The sequence below is a fragment of the Homo sapiens genome, chromosome 5 (assembly GCF_000001405.40).
Source record: "Homo sapiens chromosome 5, GRCh38.p14 Primary Assembly".
In the NCBI taxonomy this organism is placed as follows: Eukaryota; Metazoa; Chordata; class Mammalia; order Primates; family Hominidae; genus Homo; species Homo sapiens.
In genome coordinates, this window is record NC_000005.10 from 79,728,471 (window position 1) to 79,755,556 (window position 27,086).

The 27,086-nt window shown below is 40.0% G+C and overlaps 1 protein-coding gene across 3 annotated transcripts in view; it reads left to right on the forward strand.

Moving 5' to 3' along the window:
* CMYA5 (cardiomyopathy associated 5) overlaps positions 1–27,086 on the forward strand; it is a 110,387-nt gene that overhangs the window by 38,635 nt on the left and 44,666 nt on the right. For 2 of the 3 annotated variants that reach the window (XR_001742036.3, NM_153610.5), the window contains exons 2-6: positions 445–10,933; positions 15,357–15,452; positions 16,752–16,985; positions 18,621–18,643; positions 24,206–24,324. Coding sequence is in view for 2 of the 3 variants with exons in the window: in NM_153610.5 (NP_705838.3) it covers positions 445–10,933; positions 15,357–15,452; positions 16,752–16,985; positions 18,621–18,643; positions 24,206–24,324 (10,961 nt within the window). In the remaining variant the exon portion in view is untranslated. The remainder of the gene's footprint in view (positions 1–444; positions 10,934–15,356; positions 15,453–16,751; positions 16,986–18,620; positions 18,644–24,205; positions 24,325–27,086) is intronic. The other variant, XM_047416911.1, reaches the window with a different exon arrangement.

The following is a 27,086-nucleotide window of genomic DNA, read 5'->3' on the forward strand; positions in this document are numbered from 1 at the left end:
CCAGTTAGGAAGTTAATGGCAGTGACTAGGAGGGAAGTGGTGAAAAGCTGGGTGAGGTGGCGATCGTGGTAACAGAGAGAGCACAGATACAAGAGTTATTATGAAGATGCTGGTGACTAGAGTGGGCTTGAGTGACTGCTGAGTCCCGACAAGATCAGGAAGGCAATCCTGATGAGAGAAGGTGGTAAATTTAACTTTAGCTTTTTTGAGTTTGTGGAATAGTGAGTCATTCCAGCCTGGGATGTGTCATTGTATTGGGTATCCTGACTTTGGTTTTTAAACTTTATTTGATATACATCCCTCTTTTTGACATGGAAGGCAATATTGATGTCTGTATTTTAATTTCACATTAATCCTTTACCTGGTAAAAATGTATTTACTTATTCTATTAATTAGTATTATTTTATTATGATAATATATAATTAATATTGTTATTTGCTATAGGTTATCAGACCAGGATGAAGAGGGAAAGATCAAGCAGGAGTATATCATATCTGACCCCTCCTTTTCCATGGTGACAGTCCAAAGGGAAGATAGTGGGATAACCTGGGAAACCAATTCAAGTAGATCTTCTACTCCTTGGGCTTCAGAAGAAAGTCAGACTTCTGGTGTGTGTAGTCGGGAAGGGTCAACTGTGAATTCTCCTCCTGGAAATGTTTCCTTTATTGTGGATGAAGTGAAAAAGGTTCGGAAAAGGACTCATAAGTCAAAGCATGGTTCACCATCATTACGCCGGAAAGGCAACAGAAAAAGAAATTCTTTTGAATCCCAAGATGTTCCAACAAACAAAAAAGGCAGTCCTTTAACTTCAGCAAGCCAGGTACTAACCACGGAGAAAGAGAAGTCATATACTGGCATTTATGATAAAGCAAGAAAAAAGAAGACCACTTCAAATACACCTCCGATTACTGGGGCAATATACAAAGAACACAAGCCATTAGTGTTAAGACCAGTCTACATAGGAACAGTACAATATAAAATTAAGATGTTTAATTCGGTTAAAGAAGAATTAATTCCTCTACAATTTTATGGAACATTGCCAAAGGGTTATGTAATTAAAGAAATACATTATAGGAAAGGGAAAGATGCATCCATTAGTCTAGAGCCAGATTTGGACAATAGTGGTTCTAATACAGTGTCCAAAACACGCAAATTAGTAGCCCAAAGCATAGAGGATAAAGTAAAAGAGGTTTTTCCACCCTGGAGAGGCGCACTCTCCAAAGGATCAGAGTCCCTAACCTTAATGTTCAGTCATGAAGATCAAAAGAAAATTTATGCTGATTCTCCCCTAAATGCCACATCTGCATTGGAGCACACAGTTCCCTCTTATTCAAGTAGTGGCAGAGCAGAACAAGGAATACAGCTCAGGCATTCACAGTCAGTGCCACAACAGCCAGAAGATGAAGCAAAACCACATGAAGTGGAACCTCCATCTGTGACACCCGACACACCTGCAACTATGTTCCTGAGAACAACAAAGGAAGAATGTGAGCTTGCTTCACCAGGAACTGCAGCTTCAGAGAATGACTCTTCAGTCTCACCATCATTTGCTAATGAGGTAAAGAAGGAAGATGTGTATTCTGCTCACCATTCCATTTCTCTGGAGGCAGCGTCACCAGGTCTGGCAGCATCTACCCAGGATGGTTTGGACCCAGACCAAGAACAGCCGGACCTGACTTCAATAGAAAGGGCAGAACCAGTCTCCGCAAAACTGACCCCTACCCATCCCAGTGTCAAAGGAGAGAAGGAGGAAAACATGCTTGAGCCATCCATTTCTCTTTCTGAACCTCTAATGTTAGAAGAACCAGAGAAAGAAGAAATAGAAACTTCCCTACCCATAGCTATTACCCCTGAACCTGAAGATTCTAATTTAGTAGAAGAAGAGATCGTAGAACTTGATTACCCAGAAAGCCCATTGGTTTCCGAGAAGCCCTTCCCACCACATATGTCCCCTGAAGTGGAGCACAAAGAAGAAGAGCTTATTCTACCATTATTGGCAGCATCATCTCCTGAACATGTTGCTTTGTCTGAGGAAGAAAGAGAGGAAATTGCATCTGTTTCTACTGGTTCTGCTTTTGTATCAGAGTATTCAGTACCACAGGATTTGAACCATGAATTACAGGAGCAAGAAGGTGAGCCAGTTCCCCCATCCAATGTAGAAGCTATAGCTGAACATGCAGTTTTGTCAGAAGAAGAGAATGAGGAATTTGAGGCTTATTCCCCAGCTGCAGCCCCTACATCTGAGAGCTCTCTCTCACCATCCACAACTGAGAAGACTTCAGAGAACCAGTCTCCACTGTTTTCAACAGTTACACCAGAATACATGGTCCTATCAGGAGACGAGGCCTCAGAAAGTGGGTGTTACACACCAGACTCCACATCTGCTTCTGAATATTCAGTTCCATCACTGGCAACAAAAGAGTCACTGAAGAAAACAATTGACCGTAAGTCCCCGTTAATATTGAAAGGTGTTTCTGAGTACATGATTCCATCAGAAGAGAAGGAAGACACTGGATCGTTTACTCCAGCTGTGGCCCCTGCTTCTGAGCCCTCTCTCTCACCATCCACAACCGAAAAGACTTCTGAATGCCAGTCACCACTGCCTTCTACTGCCACATCAGAACACGTGGTCCCATCAGAAGGAGAGGACCTAGGAAGTGAACGTTTCACACCGGATTCAAAGTTGATCTCCAAATATGCAGCCCCACTCAATGCAACACAGGAATCTCAAAAGAAAATAATCAATGAGGCATCCCAATTCAAACCAAAAGGTATTTCTGAGCACACAGTTCTGTCAGTAGACGGCAAGGAGGTCATTGGACCATCTTCCCCAGATTTGGTTGTTGCATCTGAACACTCTTTCCCACCACACACAACCGAGATGACTTCTGAATGCCAGGCCCCACCACTTTCAGCCACCCCATCTGAATATGTTGTTCTATCAGACGAAGAGGCAGTCGAGTTGGAACGATACACACCCTCTTCTACATCTGCTTCTGAATTTTCAGTACCACCATATGCAACACCGGAGGCACAGGAGGAAGAAATTGTCCATAGATCTCTAAATCTAAAAGGTGCATCCTCACCCATGAATTTATCAGAAGAAGATCAAGAAGACATTGGACCTTTTTCTCCAGATTCTGCATTTGTGTCAGAATTCTCATTTCCACCGTATGCAACCCAGGAAGCAGAGAAAAGAGAATTTGAGTGCGATTCTCCAATATGTTTAACATCACCATCTGAGCACACTATTTTGTCAGATGAAGACACTGAAGAAGCGGAACTGTTCTCTCCAGACTCAGCATCACAAGTTTCAATCCCTCCCTTTAGAATCTCAGAAACAGAGAAAAATGAACTTGAGCCTGATTCACTATTAACTGCAGTGTCTGCTTCAGGTTATTCCTGCTTTTCAGAAGCAGATGAGGAAGACATTGGATCCACAGCTGCTACACCTGTATCTGAGCAGTTCAGTTCATCACAGAAGCAAAAAGCTGAAACTTTCCCTTTGATGTCTCCGCTTGAAGACTTAAGTCTGCCGCCTTCAACAGATAAATCAGAGAAAGCAGAAATTAAGCCAGAGATTCCAACAACCTCAACATCTGTATCTGAATATCTCATTTTGGCACAGAAGCAGAAAACTCAAGCATATTTAGAGCCTGAGTCTGAAGACTTGATTCCTTCACATTTAACCAGTGAAGTGGAGAAGGGAGAAAGGGAGGCAAGTTCATCAGTAGCTGCAATACCTGCTGCTTTACCTGCACAATCATCTATAGTAAAGGAAGAAACCAAACCTGCATCTCCACATTCAGTTTTACCTGATTCAGTCCCTGCAATCAAGAAAGAACAGGAACCCACAGCAGCACTCACTCTAAAAGCTGCAGATGAACAGATGGCTTTGTCAAAAGTCAGAAAGGAAGAAATTGTGCCTGATTCTCAAGAAGCTACAGCACATGTATCACAGGATCAAAAAATGGAGCCTCAGCCTCCAAATGTTCCAGAGTCTGAGATGAAATATTCAGTTTTGCCTGACATGGTAGATGAGCCAAAGAAGGGTGTCAAGCCCAAATTAGTTCTAAATGTGACTTCTGAACTAGAACAGAGAAAGTTGTCCAAGAATGAGCCTGAAGTAATAAAACCATATTCACCTCTAAAGGAAACATCTTTATCTGGACCTGAGGCTTTATCAGCAGTGAAAATGGAGATGAAACATGATTCCAAAATAACAACTACACCTATAGTGCTTCATTCAGCTTCCTCAGGAGTGGAAAAGCAAGTTGAACATGGTCCACCTGCACTAGCATTTTCAGCTTTGTCAGAAGAAATTAAAAAAGAAATTGAACCCAGTTCCTCAACAACTACAGCATCTGTAACTAAGCTTGATTCAAACTTAACCAGAGCAGTAAAAGAAGAAATCCCAACAGATTCATCTCTTATCACTCCTGTAGATCGTCCAGTCTTAACAAAAGTAGGAAAGGGTGAATTAGGAAGTGGTTTGCCACCACTGGTAACATCTGCAGATGAACATTCAGTTCTTGCAGAAGAAGACAAGGTGGCAATTAAAGGTGCTTCTCCCATTGAAACTTCATCCAAACATTTAGCTTGGTCAGAAGCAGAGAAGGAAATTAAATTTGATTCACTTCCAAGTGTCTCCTCTATAGCAGAGCATTCTGTTTTGTCAGAAGTAGAAGCCAAAGAAGTTAAAGCTGGGTTGCCAGTAATCAAAACATCATCTTCTCAGCATTCAGATAAATCTGAGGAAGCAAGGGTAGAAGACAAACAAGATCTTTTATTTTCTACAGTCTGTGACTCTGAACGTTTGGTTTCATCACAGAAGAAGAGCTTGATGTCTACCTCAGAGGTGTTAGAGCCTGAACATGAGCTTCCACTCAGCCTATGGGGTGAGATAAAGAAGAAAGAAACTGAACTTCCTTCATCACAAAATGTGTCACCTGCATCCAAACATATAATCCCAAAAGGCAAAGATGAGGAAACAGCAAGTTCATCTCCTGAGTTGGAAAATTTAGCATCAGGTTTAGCCCCAACATTACTGCTCCTCAGTGATGATAAGAACAAACCGGCAGTGGAGGTATCTTCTACAGCTCAGGGAGACTTCCCATCAGAAAAACAAGATGTTGCTTTGGCAGAGCTGTCTTTGGAACCTGAGAAGAAAGACAAGCCACACCAACCGTTGGAATTACCAAATGCTGGGTCAGAATTTTCTAGTGATTTAGGTAGACAAAGTGGATCCATAGGTACAAAACAAGCAAAGTCTCCCATAACTGAAACAGAGGATTCTGTTTTAGAAAAAGGCCCAGCTGAGCTTAGGAGCAGAGAAGGAAAAGAAGAAAATAGAGAGCTTTGTGCATCTTCTACGATGCCTGCAATTTCAGAGCTTTCATCATTGCTTAGGGAGGAATCTCAGAATGAAGAAATTAAACCTTTCTCTCCCAAGATCATCAGCCTAGAGTCGAAAGAACCACCTGCCTCTGTAGCTGAAGGAGGCAACCCAGAAGAATTTCAGCCATTTACTTTTTCTTTAAAAGGATTATCAGAGGAGGTTAGCCATCCAGCCGACTTTAAAAAGGGAGGAAATCAAGAAATAGGCCCATTACCACCAACTGGAAATTTGAAGGCACAAGTCATGGGAGATATTTTAGATAAGCTAAGTGAAGAAACAGGCCACCCAAATTCATCCCAGGTACTCCAGAGTATAACAGAACCATCAAAGATTGCTCCTTCTGACCTCCTTGTAGAACAAAAAAAGACAGAAAAAGCACTTCATTCAGATCAAACTGTTAAATTACCTGATGTAAGCACCTCTTCTGAAGATAAACAAGATCTGGGTATTAAGCAGTTTTCACTTATGAGAGAGAATTTGCCTTTGGAACAATCAAAATCATTTATGACAACCAAGCCTGCGGATGTCAAAGAAACAAAAATGGAAGAATTCTTTATTTCTCCAAAGGATGAAAACTGGATGTTGGGAAAGCCAGAAAATGTGGCTAGTCAACACGAACAGAGAATAGCAGGATCTGTGCAGCTGGATTCCTCTAGCAGCAATGAGCTGAGGCCAGGGCAGCTCAAGGCTGCTGTGTCCAGTAAGGACCATACATGTGAAGTGAGAAAGCAGGTCCTGCCGCATTCTGCTGAAGAATCTCATTTGTCATCACAAGAAGCAGTATCTGCTCTTGATACTTCCAGTGGTAATACAGAGACCTTATCAAGTAAAAGTTACTCTTCTGAAGAAGTAAAGCTGGCTGAAGAACCAAAGTCTTTAGTCCTAGCTGGAAATGTAGAGAGAAACATAGCAGAGGGGAAGGAGATTCATTCTTTGATGGAGAGTGAAAGTTTGCTATTGGAGAAAGCAAACACAGAGCTTTCCTGGCCTTCCAAAGAAGATAGCCAGGAAAAAATTAAACTACCTCCTGAAAGATTCTTCCAGAAACCAGTGTCTGGCCTATCAGTGGAACAGGTGAAGTCAGAAACAATCTCCTCTTCTGTCAAAACAGCCCATTTCCCGGCAGAAGGTGTGGAACCTGCATTGGGCAATGAAAAAGAAGCACACAGGAGCACACCTCCTTTTCCTGAAGAGAAGCCATTGGAAGAATCAAAAATGGTTCAGTCAAAGGTTATTGATGATGCTGATGAGGGAAAGAAACCATCACCTGAAGTAAAAATACCCACACAAAGAAAACCCATCTCCTCAATCCATGCAAGAGAGCCTCAATCCCCAGAGTCACCTGAGGTGACACAAAATCCACCTACACAACCAAAGGTGGCTAAGCCGGACCTTCCTGAGGAAAAGGGAAAGAAAGGAATTTCATCTTTCAAATCGTGGATGTCCAGCTTGTTTTTTGGATCGAGCACTCCAGATAACAAAGTTGCTGAACAAGAAGACTTAGAAACACAGCCAAGTCCATCCGTAGAAAAAGCAGTGACTGTGATAGATCCTGAAGGTACAATTCCCACCAATTTTAATGTAGCTGAGAAACCAGCTGATCATTCATTATCAGAGGTAAAACTTAAAACTGCTGATGAACCCAGAGGTACTTTAGTAAAATCTGGTGACGGTCAAAACGTTAAAGAAAAATCCATGATTTTATCAAATGTAGAAGATTTACAACAGCCAAAATTCATTTCTGAGGTGTCTAGGGAAGATTATGGAAAAAAAGAAATCTCAGGCGATTCAGAGGAAATGAACATAAACTCAGTAGTTACTTCTGCTGATGGTGAGAACCTTGAAATTCAATCTTATTCACTAATCGGTGAGAAATTGGTTATGGAAGAAGCCAAAACTATTGTTCCTCCTCATGTTACTGATAGTAAAAGAGTCCAGAAGCCAGCAATCGCTCCTCCATCTAAATGGAATATTTCTATTTTTAAGGAAGAGCCAAGAAGTGATCAAAAACAAAAATCACTCCTTTCATTTGATGTAGTAGATAAGGTGCCACAACAGCCAAAATCAGCTTCCTCCAACTTTGCAAGTAAAAATATCACAAAGGAATCAGAGAAACCAGAGTCAATTATTTTGCCAGTAGAAGAATCAAAAGGCAGTTTAATTGATTTCAGTGAAGACAGACTCAAGAAAGAAATGCAAAATCCTACTTCCTTGAAAATTTCTGAAGAGGAAACAAAACTCAGGTCTGTTAGTCCAACTGAGAAGAAAGATAATTTGGAAAACAGATCATATACCTTGGCAGAAAAGAAGGTGCTGGCAGAAAAACAAAACTCTGTGGCCCCATTAGAGCTTAGAGATAGTAATGAAATAGGGAAGACACAAATTACACTTGGATCTAGATCTACTGAACTGAAAGAATCAAAAGCCGATGCTATGCCACAGCACTTCTATCAAAATGAAGACTACAATGAAAGACCCAAAATCATTGTTGGTTCTGAAAAGGAGAAAGGTGAAGAAAAAGAAAATCAGGTATATGTGCTTTCAGAAGGAAAGAAGCAGCAGGAACATCAGCCTTATTCTGTGAATGTAGCCGAGTCTATGAGTAGAGAATCAGATATCTCTTTAGGTCATTCTTTGGGTGAAACTCAATCATTTTCATTAGTTAAAGCTACATCAGTTACTGAAAAATCAGAAGCCATGCTCGCAGAGGCTCACCCAGAAATCAGAGAAGCAAAGGCAGTAGGAACCCAACCACATCCTTTAGAAGAAAGTAAAGTTTTGGTGGAGAAAACCAAGACTTTCCTGCCGGTGGCTCTTTCTTGTCGTGATGAAATAGAGAACCACTCTTTATCTCAGGAAGGAAATCTAGTATTAGAAAAGTCAAGCAGAGATATGCCAGATCACAGTGAAGAAAAAGAACAGTTCAGAGAGTCAGAGCTATCGAAAGGCGGTTCAGTAGATATCACAAAAGAAACTGTGAAACAAGGATTTCAAGAAAAGGCAGTAGGAACCCAACCACGTCCTTTAGAAGAAAGTAAAGTTTTGGTGGAGAAAACTAAGACTTTCCTGCCAGTGGTTCTTTCTTGTCATGATGAAATAGAGAACCACTCTTTGTCTCAGGAAGGAAATCTAGTGTTAGAAAAGTCAAGCAGAGATATGCCAGATCACAGTGAAGAAAAAGAACAGTTCAAAGAGTCAGAGCTATGGAAAGGTGGTTCAGTAGATATCACAAAAGAAAGTATGAAAGAAGGATTTCCATCTAAAGAATCCGAAAGGACTTTAGCTCGTCCTTTTGATGAAACTAAGAGCTCAGAAACACCGCCATATTTGCTGTCACCTGTAAAACCACAAACTCTTGCTTCAGGAGCTTCTCCAGAAATTAACGCAGTGAAGAAAAAAGAAATGCCACGATCAGAATTGACTCCAGAAAGGCATACAGTTCATACTATTCAGACATCTAAAGATGACACATCCGATGTGCCTAAACAATCTGTTCTTGTTTCAAAGCACCACTTGGAGGCTGCGGAAGATACCCGTGTAAAGGAACCACTGTCTTCAGCAAAAAGCAACTATGCTCAATTTATATCTAATACATCAGCAAGCAATGCTGATAAAATGGTTTCTAATAAAGAAATGCCCAAGGAACCTGAAGACACATATGCAAAAGGTGAAGACTTTACAGTGACTAGTAAGCCAGCCGGACTTTCAGAAGATCAGAAGACTGCCTTTAGTATCATTTCTGAAGGCTGTGAGATATTGAATATTCATGCTCCGGCCTTTATTTCTTCAATCGATCAGGAAGAAAGTGAACAAATGCAAGATAAATTAGAATATTTGGAAGAGAAAGCCTCATTTAAAACCATACCACTCCCTGATGATAGTGAAACAGTTGCTTGTCATAAAACATTAAAGAGCAGGTTAGAAGATGAAAAAGTTACCCCATTGAAAGAAAATAAACAAAAGGAAACTCATAAGACAAAAGAAGAGATATCCACAGATTCAGAAACTGATTTATCATTTATTCAGCCCACAATTCCCAGTGAAGAGGATTATTTTGAAAAATATACTTTGATTGATTATAACATCTCCCCAGACCCAGAAAAACAGAAAGCTCCACAGAAATTAAATGTTGAAGAGAAACTCTCAAAGGAAGTTACAGAAGAAACTATCTCTTTCCCAGTAAGTTCAGTGGAAAGTGCACTAGAACATGAATATGACTTGGTGAAATTAGATGAAAGTTTTTATGGACCAGAAAAGGGCCACAACATATTATCTCATCCAGAGACCCAAAGCCAAAACTCAGCTGACAGGAATGTTTCAAAGGACACAAAGAGAGATGTGGACTCAAAGTCACCGGGGATGCCTTTATTTGAAGCAGAGGAAGGAGTTCTATCACGAACCCAGATATTTCCTACCACTATTAAAGTCATTGATCCAGAATTTCTGGAGGAGCCACCTGCACTTGCATTTTTATATAAGGATCTGTATGAAGAAGCAGTTGGAGAGAAAAAGAAGGAAGAGGAGACAGCTTCTGAAGGTGACAGTGTGAATTCTGAGGCATCATTTCCCAGCAGAAATTCTGACACTGATGATGGAACAGGAATATATTTTGAGAAGTACATACTCAAAGATGACATTCTCCATGACACATCTCTAACTCAAAAGGACCAGGGCCAAGGTCTGGAAGAAAAACGAGTTGGTAAGGATGATTCATACCAACCGATAGCTGCAGAAGGGGAAATTTGGGGAAAGTTTGGAACTATTTGCAGGGAGAAGAGTCTGGAAGAACAGAAAGGTGTTTATGGGGAAGGAGAATCAGTAGACCATGTGGAGACCGTTGGTAACGTAGCGATGCAGAAGAAAGCTCCCATCACAGAGGACGTCAGAGTGGCTACCCAGAAAATAAGTTATGCGGTTCCATTTGAAGACACCCATCATGTTCTGGAGCGTGCAGATGAAGCAGGCAGTCACGGTAATGAAGTCGGAAATGCAAGTCCAGAGGTCAATCTGAATGTCCCAGTACAAGTGTCCTTCCCGGAGGAAGAATTTGCATCTGGTGCAACTCATGTTCAAGAAACATCACTAGAAGAACCTAAAATCCTGGTCCCACCTGAGCCAAGTGAAGAGAGGCTCCGTAATAGCCCTGTTCAGGATGAGTATGAATTTACAGAATCCCTGCATAATGAAGTGGTTCCTCAAGACATATTATCAGAAGAACTGTCTTCAGAATCCACACCTGAAGATGTCTTATCTCAAGGAAAGGAATCCTTTGAGCACATCAGTGAAAATGAATTTGCGAGTGAGGCAGAACAAAGTACACCTGCTGAACAAAAAGAGTTGGGCAGCGAGAGGAAAGAAGAAGACCAATTATCATCTGAGGTAGTAACTGAAAAGGCACAAAAAGAGCTGAAAAAGTCCCAGATTGACACATACTGTTACACCTGCAAATGTCCAATTTCTGCCACTGACAAGGTGTTTGGCACCCACAAAGACCATGAAGTTTCAACGCTTGACACAGCTATAAGTGCTGTAAAGGTAAATAGATGTTGAACACACATAATTAATAATATATATATACACATTTAATTTGCTTTTACATTTTCTCAATTTTAAAGATGATTAATATTTGATCATTGATCTTTAAGCAGAATGGTCTGAAAGCAAACTAAGAATATTTCTCCAAGAATTTAGTTAAGGTAGGCTTGACAGACATTCATTGAGTACAGCCCACCCTCCTTATCCTTGAGTTCTGCATGCTTAGAATCAACCAACCGCAGATCAAATATATCCAGGAAAAACACACACACACACACACACAAAACAATAAGAGGGGGCTGGGTGTGGTGGCTCACACCTATAATCTCAGCACTTTGAGAGACCGAGGTGGGAGGATTGCTTGAGCCCAGAAGTTTGAGACCAGCCTGGGCAACATGGGGAGACCTTGTCTCTACTAAAAATACAAAAATTAGCTGGGCATGGTGGCGCACACCTGTAGTTTAAGTTACTTGGGGGGCTGAGGTGGGAGGATCAGTTGAGCCCAGGAGGTCAAGGCTACAGTTTGCTGAGATCCCGCCACTGCACTCCACTCTAGGTGACAGAGTGAGACCCTGTCTCAAAAATAAAATAAAATAAAAAATAAATAAAAATAACAGCAATAAAAATAATACAAATAAAAACAATATAGTACAACTATTTACATAGCATTTATACTGTATCAGGCATTATAAGTAATCTAGAGATTATTTAAAGTATAGGAGAGGATGTATGCCGGTTATATGAAAATACTATGCCATTTTATATCAGAGACTTGAGCATCTTCATATTTTGGTATCTGCTGACATCCTGAAACCAGTCCTCTGCAGATATTGAAGACAACTGTACACACTGTGTGCCACACATTTTTCTAGGCCTAGGGGCTAGCAAGAGAGACAACACAGGGTCACTGCCCTTGAGGAGCTTGGTATTTTATGGCAATAGTCCTTAACATTACCAAAAATGCCAAATAATTTGAAATTTAAAAAATTACCTTTGAGCAAAAAACTGCAAAAAGCAGTTTCCTTCCTATTTATCTACAATATCATCCTTTAAAGAGACACATTTACAATACATTGAGACATTTCATTGCAAGTTATATGTAAATAATACATTAAGACAGTTTAAGATTTTACTTTCTTTGTATTTCCTTTTAATTTATAAAATTCATGTTAGAAGCAGAAATTTTTTTGCATTCTTTCTGGCTATGTCTGTAGGACCCCAGTGTTCCAGATAAGTTAGTCCCAACATGTATCCTCCTGTAAGTAACTATAAATACTCCACTTCCCTGAGATACTATTGGAATGTAGTCTTTGAGACTCTCCTCTACCTTTCCATAGCCCTCCTACTGGTCTCACCATTCTCACCTCTTTAATCCATTCTCCATAGGGCAGCTGGAATTATCTTAAAATTACTAAATAACAATAACGATTGAGGATTTACTCTGTGCCATGCACTATTTTTTTGTTTTTGTTTCTGTTTTTTAGAGACAGAGTCTCCCTGTGTCACCCAGGCTGGAGTGCAGTGGTGTAATCACAGCTCACTGCAGCCTTGACCTCCCAGGCTCAAGTGATCCCTCTACCTCAGCCTCCCAAGCCCCAAGTAGCTGGGAATATAGTCATGCACTGCCACACTGGGTTAATTTTATAATTTTTTTTGTACAGACAGGGTCTCCCTGTGCTGCCCAGGCTGCTCTAGAACTCCTGGGCTCAAGCCATCCTCCCTCTTTGGCCTCCCAAAGTGCTGGGATTACAGGTGTGAGTCACAATGCCCAGTCTTAAGTTCTTTATATACAGGATATCTTTTAGTCTTTCTAACAGCTCTGTCACTGTCATTAGTTTGCAGATAATAAAATCGTCTCAGAGAGTTTAAATGATTTGCCCAAGGTCATGGAAGGCGAAACTGGGGCTGGTACCCAGATCTTTCTGATGCCAGAGCTCATGTTCTTGACTATATACGCATACTGCTTGGCTCAGTACCTTGATAATGGTAGTGATTTTCAATATGATCATTCAATTAGGTCCTTGTTAAATAATTATCAGACTCATTTTGATTCAACAGATAACATATTAGAATCTTGGCATTTTTTAACTCCCAAATTAATCCTTCTCAACTTGTCTGATATTGGTTCTAGTTCTCCAGGGTATAGTTTTGTTGAAACTTTACTTGTTAAAGTTTGGGGTTAGGGAGTAGGGCAACTTCTTTTGTGAAATCTCAGACGTCACATGCATGAGCTACAGTGGAAGTGGGCCCCATTCTGCGGTGATACTTTGTTTTAACTCACAACTACTGAGCACTGCCAGCAGAAAGAAGACTGAATTTTTTTGGTCTTCTTAATATGTTTTGTTTATCTCTATGAGTTTTAGATATTAAAAAATAATCATCTAAGTATTATCAATTTAAAACAAATTTTATAAGTAGAGAGATATGATGTCTCCTGCCTTAAAATCATTTTTAAAGTTTTTTTTAATTCTTGATCTTCTCTAAACAGTATGAGAAGGAGAAGGTGGGAACCCAGTTGACTAAAGCCAAGCAGCTAGCTTCATTTCATTAAGTCAGCCATGAAGATTAGTAAGAGTTGTTTGGTTGGCAATTCCTCCTCCTACTGCTCCTTTCTCCTCCTTCCTCCTCCTCCTCCCTCTTTCTCCTCTTCTTCTTCTTCTTCTTCTTCTTCTTCTTCTTCTTCTTCTTCTTCTTCTTTCTTCTTCTCTTCTTCTTCTTCTTCCTCCTCCTCCCCTTCTTCCTCCCCCTCTTCCTTTCCCCCCTCCTCCTCCTCTTCTTCTTCTTCCTTTTTTCTTCTTTCTTCTTTGACAGGGTCTCACTCTGTTGCCCAGGGTAGAGTGCAGCGGCGTGATCATCATAGCTCGCTGAAGCCTCCTGGGCTCAAGCAATCCTCTCGCCTCAGCCTCCTGACTAGCTGGGACTAGAGACACATGCCATCACACCCAGCTACTTTTTAAATTTTTAGTGGAGACAAGATGTCAGTATGTTGCCCAGTCTGGTCTCGAAGTCCTGGCTACCAGCGATCTTCCCACCTAGGCCTCCCAAAGTGCTGGGATTCCAGGCAGTAGCCACTGCAGCTGGCCAGTTGGCAACTTTTTAAAAATAAAAATCAATTTAAAAAATTGTAGCTTGAGAATTTTCTAGCATCTTAAGGGCAGGCATTTGTGCCTGTTCCAGGAGCCAATGGCTGCAGTTACAGATCACCCAAGTCCTTGTGTCTCCTCCCCAGTCCATCCCCATCATGTGCTTATCTTTTGTCTGTTATTTATTTTCTTCATTTACTCACTCCCTTCCTGCATTCTCAGTGTTTATTTATCTCCCATTGTGTGTCAGGAACTGTGCCAATCATTGAGAGTGAAAAAAAAAAAAGGAAGATGGACTTGTAGATTCCCAAAATCAATACAATGTTGCGAAAGCCCAATGTTCTGAGAAACTAACCTTTTGGGAGTGAAACGGTGGGGTAGGAAGGGGAATGTTAGCAAAGGTGTCTCTAAAAGGTGATGCTTGGGTGAGCTTTAAATGAGATAGAGCTCTTCTAGCAGTCAAGGGCAGGGACAACATTCTAGAGCCAAGGAATACCATATGAAGGCACACAGATGAGAAAGAGTGCAATGACGAAGCCTGTGTGATTGGAGCCTGGGGGCTGTGGAGAAGAGGTAAGGGCCATAGAGGGAAGTAGAGACCAGATCCTGAAGAGGCCTCCATCAATGTTGTATCTCCATCAGTCTGTGGTAGTGAATCAGACAGCTGAAGCTCTGCTATTTTTTCTGCTTTGTTATTTTTTAAGTTTAGCAAGATTGGCTGTTGCTAGGTTTATAATTACGGCTAAAGTGGGTACCATGCTCCCCTATCACCCCATACGTTTTCTAGTTGGCTATTACCCCTTGAGTATTTTAACCCTTTGAGGGTCATTAGAACTTTTAGGTCCCTTTAGTAGGCAGTTTCTCTCAGTTGGTATGCTAAATTTCAGGCCTTGTGGCACTCTGATCACCTTCTCAGGCCATTAGTATAAATGTGAAGAAATTACTCAGGTATATTGGACCAGTTTAGCAAAAAGACTCCTCTCTCAGAACATATAAAAACCAAGGTCTTACTAGAGAGAACGCATTCAAATCTATAGTTCATTAAAACAGGTATGTTTTGAGCTCATCAGTTTATCAAGAAAGTCCATTCTTTCACTTACGAAGATATACTGTCTTTGTGTAGTTGTTTTGAGGTTTTCACTCAAAACCTCCTAATTATCATACAGAATTATCTATAGTCAGATGAGGCAGTAAAGAAAATTTAAGGATTGATTTGTTAGTGGATATAGTATAGTAAGTCTCTACGAAACATACTAAATTTATAAGGAACTTGGAGCTCACTGGTTGAAGTTCTCTTCCTAAATGTCATATACTAAGGATATCTTAATTCTTTTCTTCAGGTTCAATTAGCAGAATTTCTAGAAAATTTACAAGAAAAGTCCTTGAGGATTGAAGCCTTTGTTAGTGAGATAGAATCCTTTTTTAATACCATTGAGGTAAGTTAACACACCCATTTTACCTTAACCTGGCTTGTTCACAGTATCAGAAGTAAATGATTCTGAGGTGAAGGGATCTGACTTGGGGATTTTATGCGCATGTGTTGTTTGCCATTGTTGGTTCGGTTCCATTCAAAGCGAGAATGCTTAAAGTCTTCTCTCTGTGCATAATGAGTGAGATTCCTTTCTGCCTATGGATAAAAGATTTGCCGGTAACGACAGACATGCATTTATTAACACTTACTATAATAGGGCAAATGCTTTACATGCTTTACCTGACTGAATCCTCACAATTATATGAGATAGGTGTTATTATTGTTCCAATTGTATAGATAAGAAACCAAGTCTTAGAGTACATTCCTCATTTTCATGCCTCTCACTGGGTTAACTCTGCAGAAATGCTCTGAGTCACTGCCCAGTGTCCCATGCCCAGGGCCAGTGAGTGCCTCTCATAGCACGACTATCTCTGATGAGTTCATACTCTCCTAGCTGCTGGCTCTTATCCCTTCTGCAGGGAAGAGAGGGACTAGCAATGCTCCATCCTTATACAGAGATGGCCCAGGCACCCTCACCAGTCAATCAGGACTGGCAGAGGGCCTGAGGCCACTGCAGAGGCTGCTGCACAGTTTCCCTACTACTGGGGCCGCTCCACATGCTGGTTTGCTTGTAAGAGGTCTGCTTAATTCATGTTGTGGATCAACTAGTACATGCTAGTTATTTCGGGTGTCACCTTCCCCAGGTGTCCTTTTTAGGGAGTAAATTATGGGATCATCTTATTACTAGCCCCACTAGTGAGGATAGCCAGGCATCTGGATGTGTCTGGACAGGCAACGAAGTTTCTCCCACTGTGGGATAACCTGCCATCTCACTGGAGAACATTTGGGGAGGTAGCCCCCATTCCATATCTGGGCTTTCTGCCTTGCACTGTGATTTTAGTGGACTGATGCATTTCCACCATCTGAAGGCCAGGGATGCTCACTCAACGTGATGCCATTTTCAAGTTTCATCATGTGTGAGTGCAGGTGGGCAAGACTTCCATATGAAAATATATATATTTTGTATTATGGTAGCTAAAACTTTCTTGATGATACTGTTACAGTAAATTCTATTGCTTTATTGCAAAACTAACTGTGGGAAAGGGATTGGTAGGTTAGAAATTTGAACTGTGCATGTGATGTCTGATTCTCTGATCAGGATGCCAGAGGTCAATTCTTTAAAAGGCTGGTGTTTCCAAAAAAAAAAAAAAGCAGCATTTCTTGTTTCATTCAGAAGTGGGCTTTTTTGCTTGTTTGTTTTCAGGAAAACTGTAGTAAAAATGAGAAAAGGCTAGAAGAACAGAATGAGGAAATGATGAAGAAGGTTTTAGCACAGTATGATGAGAAAGCCCAGAGCTTTGAGGAAGTGAAGAAGAAGAAGATGGAGTTCCTGCATGAGCAGATGGTCCACTTTCTGCAGAGCATGGACACTGCCAAAGACACCCTGGAGACCATCGTGAGAGAAGCAGAGGAGCTTGATGAGGCCGTCTTCCTGACTGTAAGTGCCAAGTAAAATGGGCTCAAACACCTTGCGCCCACTCTGGCACATCTACTTTTAAAGCTTCATTTTTCACTATTCCTTAAGATTATTTATATCTCTGTGTGGGATTTATATAATTCTGGCATTTAAACATTATTTGGGCATGCCTGATGCCTATAGAAAAGGCCCAGCAAACCCTGAAAGCCTCAATGCCCAGATCCAGCTGAAAGATACAGCTGAAAGAGACAGCCTGCAGCATCATCATCCATTGCGTCCCACTGGATTCATTGGTCACTGTCTAAGAGGGAGGGAAAGAAGCCTTGTTCCTGCCATGCTTTCCCTCTGAGGGCCAGCTGGCATCCTCAGCCTGGCTCCTGGGGCCGTCCTCTTCACTCTCTAAGCTGAAGTGACCACTCATATGGGCTGTTCCCCCTCTGAGCCTGGCCAAGGGGCTGAGAGTAACATTTGGGTGTGCAAAAGGATGACATAATGGGGTACCCCTCTCAGGTAATAAATATGTTGGTGTTTTTACAAGGGGTTTCTTGGGGACAGGATTCCTTAATTCAAGCAGGTAACTTGTAGACATGGAAATTCCCTTGGGTGCTCCTCACATTGCACCAGCAGAGACACCTCTGTGCTCCCTGCAATTCCCTAGAATATTCAGTGAGATGCTGGGTCTCCATGAAGCCAGGATTAAGCAGAAATAGTGGAGATGTTTTCCCTGAAGGCAGTTCCAAGCCTAATTGTCACACAGCAAGAAGCACTGCTCTTAGGATGACTGGGAACCTCCCTTTCAAAGTTCCCCATCCTCCTACCCTTTAGAAAACTTTGGAGATACAGCAAGGCAAAACGGAACAATGTTAGCCTTTTGATTTGCCTCTGGGGACAGCTCTTGCCAGGGCAAATTTTGGTGAAGTGGACATGGCCATTCTCAAAGAGAACTAAACTCATTACATTGTTTTGTGTGTAATTAAGGCAAAGCTTCTTATTCATAAATTGGGCACTGTTTGTGAAGCATAATGTTAATTAAGTGCTTTTTGTTCCCTGAGAACCTTATCTTTGTTCTGTAAGAATAAGAATAATTTACTTCTTTCTAGAAGAGCAAACTGTAAAAAAAAAAAAAAAAAAAAAAAGGCATTTCTACTTATAAAAGTAATATTACTCATTTTTTAAAATTGGAAAATATAGAAAAGCACACAAAATATCACTCAGATAAATACTGATTACAGTTTTGATCTCTATCCTTCATTGAAAACATTTAAGTCATTTTTCCTGCTTTAGAGAATTCTATTCTGGAAGCTAAGCCATTGGTTGATGAATAGAGAGAAGCAGAGCATAAGCAACTCATTGCCAGTCCCGCTGATCACAGAGACAGAGCCAACTGCAAATGAAACCATCCTCCATCCCTGTCCTGACACTGCCCATCCCACCCATTCCCCCTCCCCTGCACCCCGCCTTGTGAGCACTTATGTCCTTGCTGCCCAGACTGAGACAAAAACAACCTCAGGGAAGCTGAGGGGTTATGATTTTCAAACGTGGGTAATCTTAATGCTCCTGGTTGTTTTTTCTTTCTGTTGTTAATTAGCTTCTCTCTCTCTTTCTCTCTCTCTTTTTCTCTCTTCTCCTCCTCCTTCCTCTCTCTTTCTCCCTAAGTCGTTTGAGGAAATCAATGAAAGGTATATAAAACATGATACAATGTAGTGGCAAACAGCATGACTGGATGCTTGCTTTTTAATATTTTGGTGCTTTATGGAAAATGAGCTGCCAATTAAAAAATGCATTTAGTGGGCTACAGTATTTTCACTTTTAGACACAGTGCTTTTAAAAGCTAAATGACAGCTTTGAAAGAAAACTGCATGTGCTTTAGTTAAATAACAATTATCATAATGTAGATTTTTAACTGCTTCCTCAAGATGTATTCTGCATTTTCAGCCTAATCTAGGCCATCTTTCCTGTCACTGCATATAGAACATTTTGTAGATGCTTAGATGCATTGGTTAAACATGAGTATTTGAAAGAATCATTCATATCTGCCTTGAGTAATTTTATGATTTATGTAATTTTAATGAACTGTTCTATCATTTTCTCTTCAAAAGATAGTCATGCATTTATCTTCTCTTTCTGCTCAGCTAACCTAAATGAATCTCCCTCCTTTGATTTTGTTTTGTTTTGTTGGTGTTTTTAACACTTCATCTAAGAGAATTCTTCATTCTTTCCAAAAGCAAAACACTCAACAAGAAAACATGTTGTCTATAAAAACATGTAACATCAGATTTATGTTTATCTTTCAGAGCATTTCATATTATAATTATCCAACAGATCTGACACGTTCTTCCTTTTGCCCCATAGCAAGACCTGAGGTCTTTCCTTCTGGTTTGAGCCTAATGTTTTCTCCTTTTAGTGTAATTTTAAATGTAAATTTCTAAATTGTAAATACCATCTTCAGTTTACTTCCATCCCAATTCAAATTGTGATACAGCATAGAGTAAAATCAGAAATTTGTATCTATAATGTATTATAATATAAAAAAGGATTTAGATTAGAAATATGATTTTTTTAGGTAATTGAAATCACACAGATGAATCCTATTTACCTAAAACAAATTCTATTCAACAGAATATTACCAGTTAGTTTTTGAAAATAATTTGACTTATTGACATTAATCAATAAGTGTTTTATAACAGTGGCTCTGTTATGAATAGAATTCCCCAAGGAGCTTTTAAAAATGCTGATGCCTGAATCTTCTGAGATTCTGATTTAATTGCTCTGGGGTGTAGATGAGCATTTTTAAGGCTTCCTAGATGATTCTAATGCACAGCCAGGGTTGAAAGTTCTGGTTTATACAATCTATCCTTCGTCCCAGTAATTCCCCACACTGGCTGTGCCTAAATCACCTGTGCAATTTGTTTAACCAAAGATCCTTTGGTCCCACCCCAGATCCACTACATCAAAATTTCCAGAGTGAGACCAGGCATCTGCTTGTTACCAATTCTCACAGACGAGTCTAAGACACACCAATCAGGTCTAGAAACTGATACCCAGGCCTTATTCCGAGTTCCCTATCTATCTATCTATCTATCTACCTATCTATCTATCTATCTATCTATCTATCTATATTTTTTTGAGCCAGGGTCTCACTCTGTCACCCAGGCTGGAGTGCAGTGGCACGATCTTGGCTCACTGCAACCTCCACCTCCCGGGTTTAAGCAATTCTCCTGCCTCAGCCTCCGAAGTAGCTGGGACCACAGGTGCGCTCCACCGTGCCCTGCTAATTTTTTGTATTTTTAGTACAGATGGAGTTTTGTCATGTTGCCCAGGCTGATCTTGAACTCCTCAGGCCAAGTGATCTGCCCACCTCCAGTTTCCTTTATTTTAAACAAATTATTTTTTCTAAATATTATTGACATTTCTTTTTATCCAAAAAGCACATGGATTTACAGTGCCATTCCATCTATACTGGACAGTGTAGATGCATATTTGCTTACTTATATTTTATCCATTCATGGAAGTTACTGCTCAGTAAGAAAATTTGGTGAGTGAAAAGTTGAAAAATGCAATAGAATGTTTTTACCTTTCTAACCATCAGAATATTGCAAATATAAATTGACATCCACTTAATACTAAATACTCTTTCTTCGGTTTTGTGCTTAAATATGTTCATCTGTGTGTCATTTTAATTAATTTCTATTTCATTGTCCAGTTGACAGTGAATTAATTTTTTGCTAAAGCTGCCTGTCTCTTAAAGGAGAGTACACTTGGGCTAACCATTATTTTCCTGTAAAGAAAAAAGACAACAAAATTCTGGGATTTGGTGAAGAAAGATGAACAATTAAAGAAACCGCTGTCAAACGTTCATGTACACGTGCACACACTTGATGAAGCTGGGCGCCATCACTGAAAAGCTTTCCATGTCCTCAAGAAAACTTCTGTCTCAAAGTCTCAATGTTATTGATGTTCCTTTCTATAAGAAGTGCTAATTATCTACAGTTGGCCCTTGAACAACACGAGTTTGGACTGTGCAGGTCCACTGATATGTGGATCTTTTTCAATAAATATATTGGAAAATTTTTTTGAGATTTGTGACAGTTTGAAAAAAACTCAAAGATGAACTGCATAGCCCAGAAATGTTGAAAAATTAAGAAAATGTTAGGTATGTCACAAGTACATAAAATATATGTAAATATTAGTCTATTTTATCATTTACTATCATAAAATATACACAAATCTATTATAAAAATTAAGAACATCAACATTTATGCACACAAACACCACCGTCCATAGCACCATATGCAGTTGGGAGAAATGTAAACAAACATAAAGATACAGTACTAAATCATAACTGCATAAAATTAACTGTAGTAATACTGTACTACTCAAATAATTTCTACAACTATACTGCTACCATACTACTTTAATAATTTTGTAACCACCTCCTGTTGCTGTTGTGATGAGCTCAAGTGTTGTGAATCTCTGCTTAAAAACTGTGTCACGCTAATCATCTCCCTGTGAGCAGTTAGTCTCTCCAGTAAATTGTATATTGCAGTAAAAAGTGATCTCCTAAGGTTTTTGCCTATTTTTTTTTTTTTTACCATATTCGGTGTGATACCATAAACCTTGAATAACGCCATGATACCCATAGGAAGTGGCACTAGTGATCCTGGATGTGCTCCCCAGAAACAGAGAAAAGTCATGACATTACAAGAAGAAGTTGAATTGTTTGATCTTTTCAGTAGATTGAGGTCTGTAGCCACCGTTGCCTTCCATTTCAGCATTTCAGGTGATTCATCTTGTGAAGAGATGATGTAAACTTAAGGTATTAATAAATACAGTACAGTACTGTAAGTGTATTTTCTCTTCCTTATGGTTTTCTGAGGAATTTCTCTTTTCTTTAGCTTATTTGATTTTAAGAATACAGTATATAATATGTATACAAAATATGTGTTAATCAACTCTTGAGGTTATTGGTAAGGCTTCCAGTCAACAGCAGACTATTAGTAGCTAAGTTTTTGGGGAGTCAAACAGTACACATGGATTTTCAGTTGTACAGAGAGTCAGTGCCCTAAACCCCATCTTGCTCAAGAGTCAGTTGTGGTTTATTTTACCTTGCCACTTTTTCTCCCTCCCTTCATATTACATCTCTAAAGGCAGTGCTTGTATATTAAATGCTTTTTCTCAACACTAAAAATGCTTAAATTAAGGAATGCTGTCAAGCATATTTAGACTAAACATTTACATATCTTGAAAAACACATTTGCTTAGAAAATGCTGTTTGTTGAGGGGATTCATTTTTTTTCTCCGTTTTGCTCTTTTGTGTTATAATAATGAAAGGAGTTGCAACCATTGTAAGACCTGCTTCTAAAAGGATGTCTGCCTGCCTTTTCATATGCTGATGTTAAACTGGAATAGGTTCGGTGCATAAGGGAAAACTCTAACATTTTGCTTGTGGTACCTACCATCAGAGCCTTTGTGCTACAAAATGTCCTACATTAATACACATCAGTGATGTGTATTTTTAGAGGGCTTAGTGCATGTATGGGGCACCATTTTTGTTCATTCTGAGCCTATCATTTCCGCCCTCTCCATCCCCACAGTCTTAATTTAGGCTCGTGCTGTCTTCCCTCACTAGACCCTATGGGGTTCTCCCACCTGACCTCAGACCTCCCTCCTCTGCTTACCCTGATCCTTCCTTAGACACTTGCCAAGACAGTCATCTAAATTTCCCTTTTATAACAATTTTGTGGCTCTCCCTGCCTTAAAAGACAAAATTGAACTCTCAGTGGGTATGAAAGGCTCTTTATAGTCAAGCCACAAACGACTTTTCTATTTCATCCCTGACTGTCTGTGTTTCCCAACTCCCACGGTGCCCTCTGGCCCTCGAATGTGCTGTACTTGGCCGCATCTCCATGCCTGGGTTCATACCCTTCTTCTATCTGCAATGCCCTTACTTGTTCTCTCTTCTGCCTAGGAAACTCCCACTCATTAATACCCAGCCCAAATGTTACCTCCTCTTTGAAGCCCCTCTGGAACCACCTCCCCTAAATCAAATGATAGTGAATTTTATTGTTTCTGACAGTAGTAAGTGTAGAAGTCACTCTTTAAATATTCAGTTTTATTTTATAATATTTTTCCTTCATACTGACCATAAATCCACCATCACTGAGATCCTGATATCCACACCCCCACAAAACTATTGGCCTCTTATTTATTCAAAATATGTTTATTAAATGCCCACCATGTGCCAAGTAATGCATTAGAATACAGTAGTGAACAAAATAAAGTCCTTTCCTGCATATAAACGGTATTCTGGTGAAGCAGACGGACAAAAACCGAAGAGGCTGTGATAAGTCTGGGGAAAACAAAGCCTAGTGAAGAATGGAGGGGGCAGGCAAGGCTGTATTAGTAGCGTACTCTCTGAGGAGCTGACATTTGAACAGAGATCTAAATTAAGTCAAGGAAGGAGCTGAGCAAGTGTCTGGGAGAACAAAGTTCCAACAGCAAGTGCAGTGGGTCTGCTGGGAAAACCAAGACATCCATGGAAATGAAGCCTTTTTGTCATTGTTTGTTTAAATCCACATTTCATCTGGATACAAATACTTAGACTTAGCATCAGTTGGCATTCCAGCTAATGAGGGTGTTGAGTCCATAAAGCTGTTGATTTAGAAATTGTGGCTTGTTTAGTCTTTTACGAATGATAGGCTTTATCCTCTCATTGCTCTTTCCCCAGTACCTAGCACAATGCCTGGGACATAGTAAATAAACATGTTTTGAATGACAAAATGATTAGAAGCTTAATATCGAGGTTTGAGAACAAGGACATCTGCAGTGTGTAAGTTTCTAGATGTGCTCTTAGCATTTTTATCCTTTGAAGCCTCAGTGGGTATGAAAGGCTTTGGATATAAATCCTTTCCCTTTAGGAAATAAAGAAAATAATCCCTAAAATGAAGTAATTTTTAGGACCAACTTTATAGGTAAAACACTTAAGACTGTATTGCTTGATAGAATCTTTCTAACTAGAGGATATAGGAATGAAATTTCCAATATTACCAGTTGCCTAAGAATAGATTTTAGACATATATTTCAAGACTTTAAAGCTTTAAATCCTTTTTTGGATAGAGTGAGAGGCCCTGCCTTATGCAAACCACCACTACCAACACCAGCTTCATTTTGAACAATTTTTTTCACTTTCATTCTGTATGTTAATAATTTTTTAACTTATGTAGAGCTCTATTCCCCGATAGGTTGCTTTCTGCAATGGAGAGCACTGCTTCTTTAGAGAAAATGCCTGCTGCGTTTTCCCTTTTCGAACATTATGATGACAGCTCGGCAAGAAGTGACCAGATGTTAAAACAAGTGGCTGGTAAGCATTTTAATATATTAATTACCTAGATGAAATATGGCAGTTTTTGCTTGTTTGTTTTGTATGTAATGATATATACAAAAGATTTTGAGTGTAAAGACATGTAACTGGAAAAAGAAAAGTATTAGTTGTAAAATGTTACAGCTAGACTCTGAAATTGAGCATGGGAGGAACATCCCATTTCTGTGCATTTCCATCTGAAGCTTTATGACTTGCTTGGAGATTGAGGAGGTGGAAGGAGCCATGGAACCAAAGGGTCTCCTCTTTTTTTTTTTCTTTAATTTAAAAATAGGATTTCTCTCCCTCTCTTCTCATTTGCCTCATACCAGCAGCCAGGTATAGAAGAAAAAAGAAGTCAAATGTTTTCCTACGTGTCAAACAGATTTCTCTTTATGAGTGGTTTTCCCCTCTTCAATTCAGTTCTTTTCCCCTTTTTTCAAACTAAACAGATGAGCTTAGAGAACTATCAGCTCAGCACCATGGTCTGTAGCCAGGAGCCTCCCACTCAGCTGTCAGAAGCATCCTGCCAGCTCTTCACAATATTTTTTAATGTGCTATTTTAACAAACAGGACAATGAAACTTATTTAGATTTTTCAAAGCTGCCATGTTTCAGTGAAGTTACCAAGTTTTTCTTACTGTACAACATGCTCAGGTGTCCTCCTTAAAAGATGCTGTAGTCTTCCAAAATCACCTCAAAGATTACAGCTATTCAGGAGGCTGAGGCGGGAGGATCACTTGAGCCTAAGGGTTCGAATCCAGCCTGGGCAACATAGTAAGACCCCCATGTCTAAAAACAACAACAACAACAACAAAAAACCCCAAAAAACAAAAACAAAAAAGATGGCTGTTGTGTTTAAATTGATGATTAACATTCATTCCTGTACAAAGAGTTTTAATTTAGTAACTACTAAAAAGGCTACTGTATGTCTAAAAAGACAAAAACAACACGACACCACACAACACACAAAAACCCAAAACCCCACCAGCCCTTTATAAAATTAAAAACTCAATCATTGATCTTAATGGATTTTCTCTAGAAATGTCTCAAAGTGTTTTCTTGTAATGTCTTTAAGAGGGATTAGACTAGGACAGTGATTGCAAACTAAGAAAGTTTGATTAACAGAGCTGGTCTTTTGCTTTTAAGGGATTCATTATATGCCACTGTTCATTTAGGAGGATATGCTTTTCAATACTTAATGGGCAATGAGAGGACGTTTAATATATTTTAGAGGTCACAGAGTTAAAATGTCACAAAGTGTTAACAATTAACTCAGCAAGTGCACATGGCGGTCCCTGTGGCTGGAAGCCTTTTATGGAGAGACTGATCTCAGAGCCATAAATGTTACTTTGTGCGTCTGTTTCACAAAATTGGAGCCCAGGGTGTTGACTTGCTGCTAAGTAGTTTTTGTGCATTTGGTGACACCTCTCAGAAGTCCTCACCTGTGACCTGAAAAGTTGATCTGATGACCCCCTACCTAAACTAAGCAGATACAATGAGAAAAGGATGTGAGTTTTCCAATGAGAAGTAGCAGCCCATACGATTTATTCCATGCTTATACGATGGCTGGCATTGTGGAAACCGTTAAGCATATCAAATCATCTAATCTCACCATAACCCAAGGAGGTAGGTTTTGTTATTCCCATTTGACAGGTGAGGAAAGGTGAGGAAAGAGAGGAACAGAAAAATGTTCTATTTTCAAGAAAACACAGCCGGTTGGGGTGTGTTTGGCAGGGGAGTTTGGCTTCAGAGTCTGCCCCACAGCGAAAAGGCAGAGTGCTGCTGAGAAAGATGAGAGAAACAGATCATGATAAACAAACATGAATCTAGGCTTCCTTGATGCTGGCACCTGGGGATTTTTTTTTTAATTGTGGTAAAATACACATAACAAAATTTACCATCTTGCCCATTTTTAATTGTACAGTTTAGTGGCATTAAGGACATTCACATTGTGGTACAACCATCACTGCCATCCTCTCCAGAACTCTTCATCTTGCAAAACAGAAGCTCTATATCCATTAAACACTAACTCTCCATATTCTCCCCTTCTCCTGGCTGTGGCAGCCACCATTTTACTTTCTGTTTCTGTGAATTTGATTACTCTAAGTACTTCATCTAAGTGGAATCATATGGTATTTCTCTTTTTGTGACTGGTTTGTTTAACTTAGAGTAATATCCTCAAAGCTTACCATGTTGTAACGTGAAACTTTTCCTCCTCTTATCTATTCATCCATTGGTGGATACTTGGGTTGCTTCCACTTTTTGGCTATTGTGAATAATGCTGCTCCCCTGAGGACGTTCCAAAGGCCAGGTTGAGTGGAAATCTGTATCTGGTCACAGATTCCAAAGTCCAGTTTGGTTAATGCTTAACTCCCCCAGTGTGGTGGCTCTTTTTGGGCACATTTCATCAGGCAGAGGGGTGATTCTTCTACCCAATTCCTTAGCCTCTTATAATGAAGCCCTAAACTTTCATTTTGGTATTTTTTGGTATCATACCTTTTTTTTTTTCCCCACACAGAGTCTCACTCTGTCGCCCAGGCTGAAGTGCAGTGGCACCATCTCGGCTCACTGCAACCTCCGCCTCCCGGGTTCAAGCCATTCTTATGCCTCAGCCTCCCCAGTAGCTGGGATTACAGGCGTGCATCACCATGCCCAGCTAATTGTTGTATTTTTAGTAGACATGGGGTTTTGCTGTGTTGGCCAGGTTGGTCTCCTACTCCTGAACTCAAGTGATCTGCCCTCCTTGGCCTCCCAAAGTGCTGG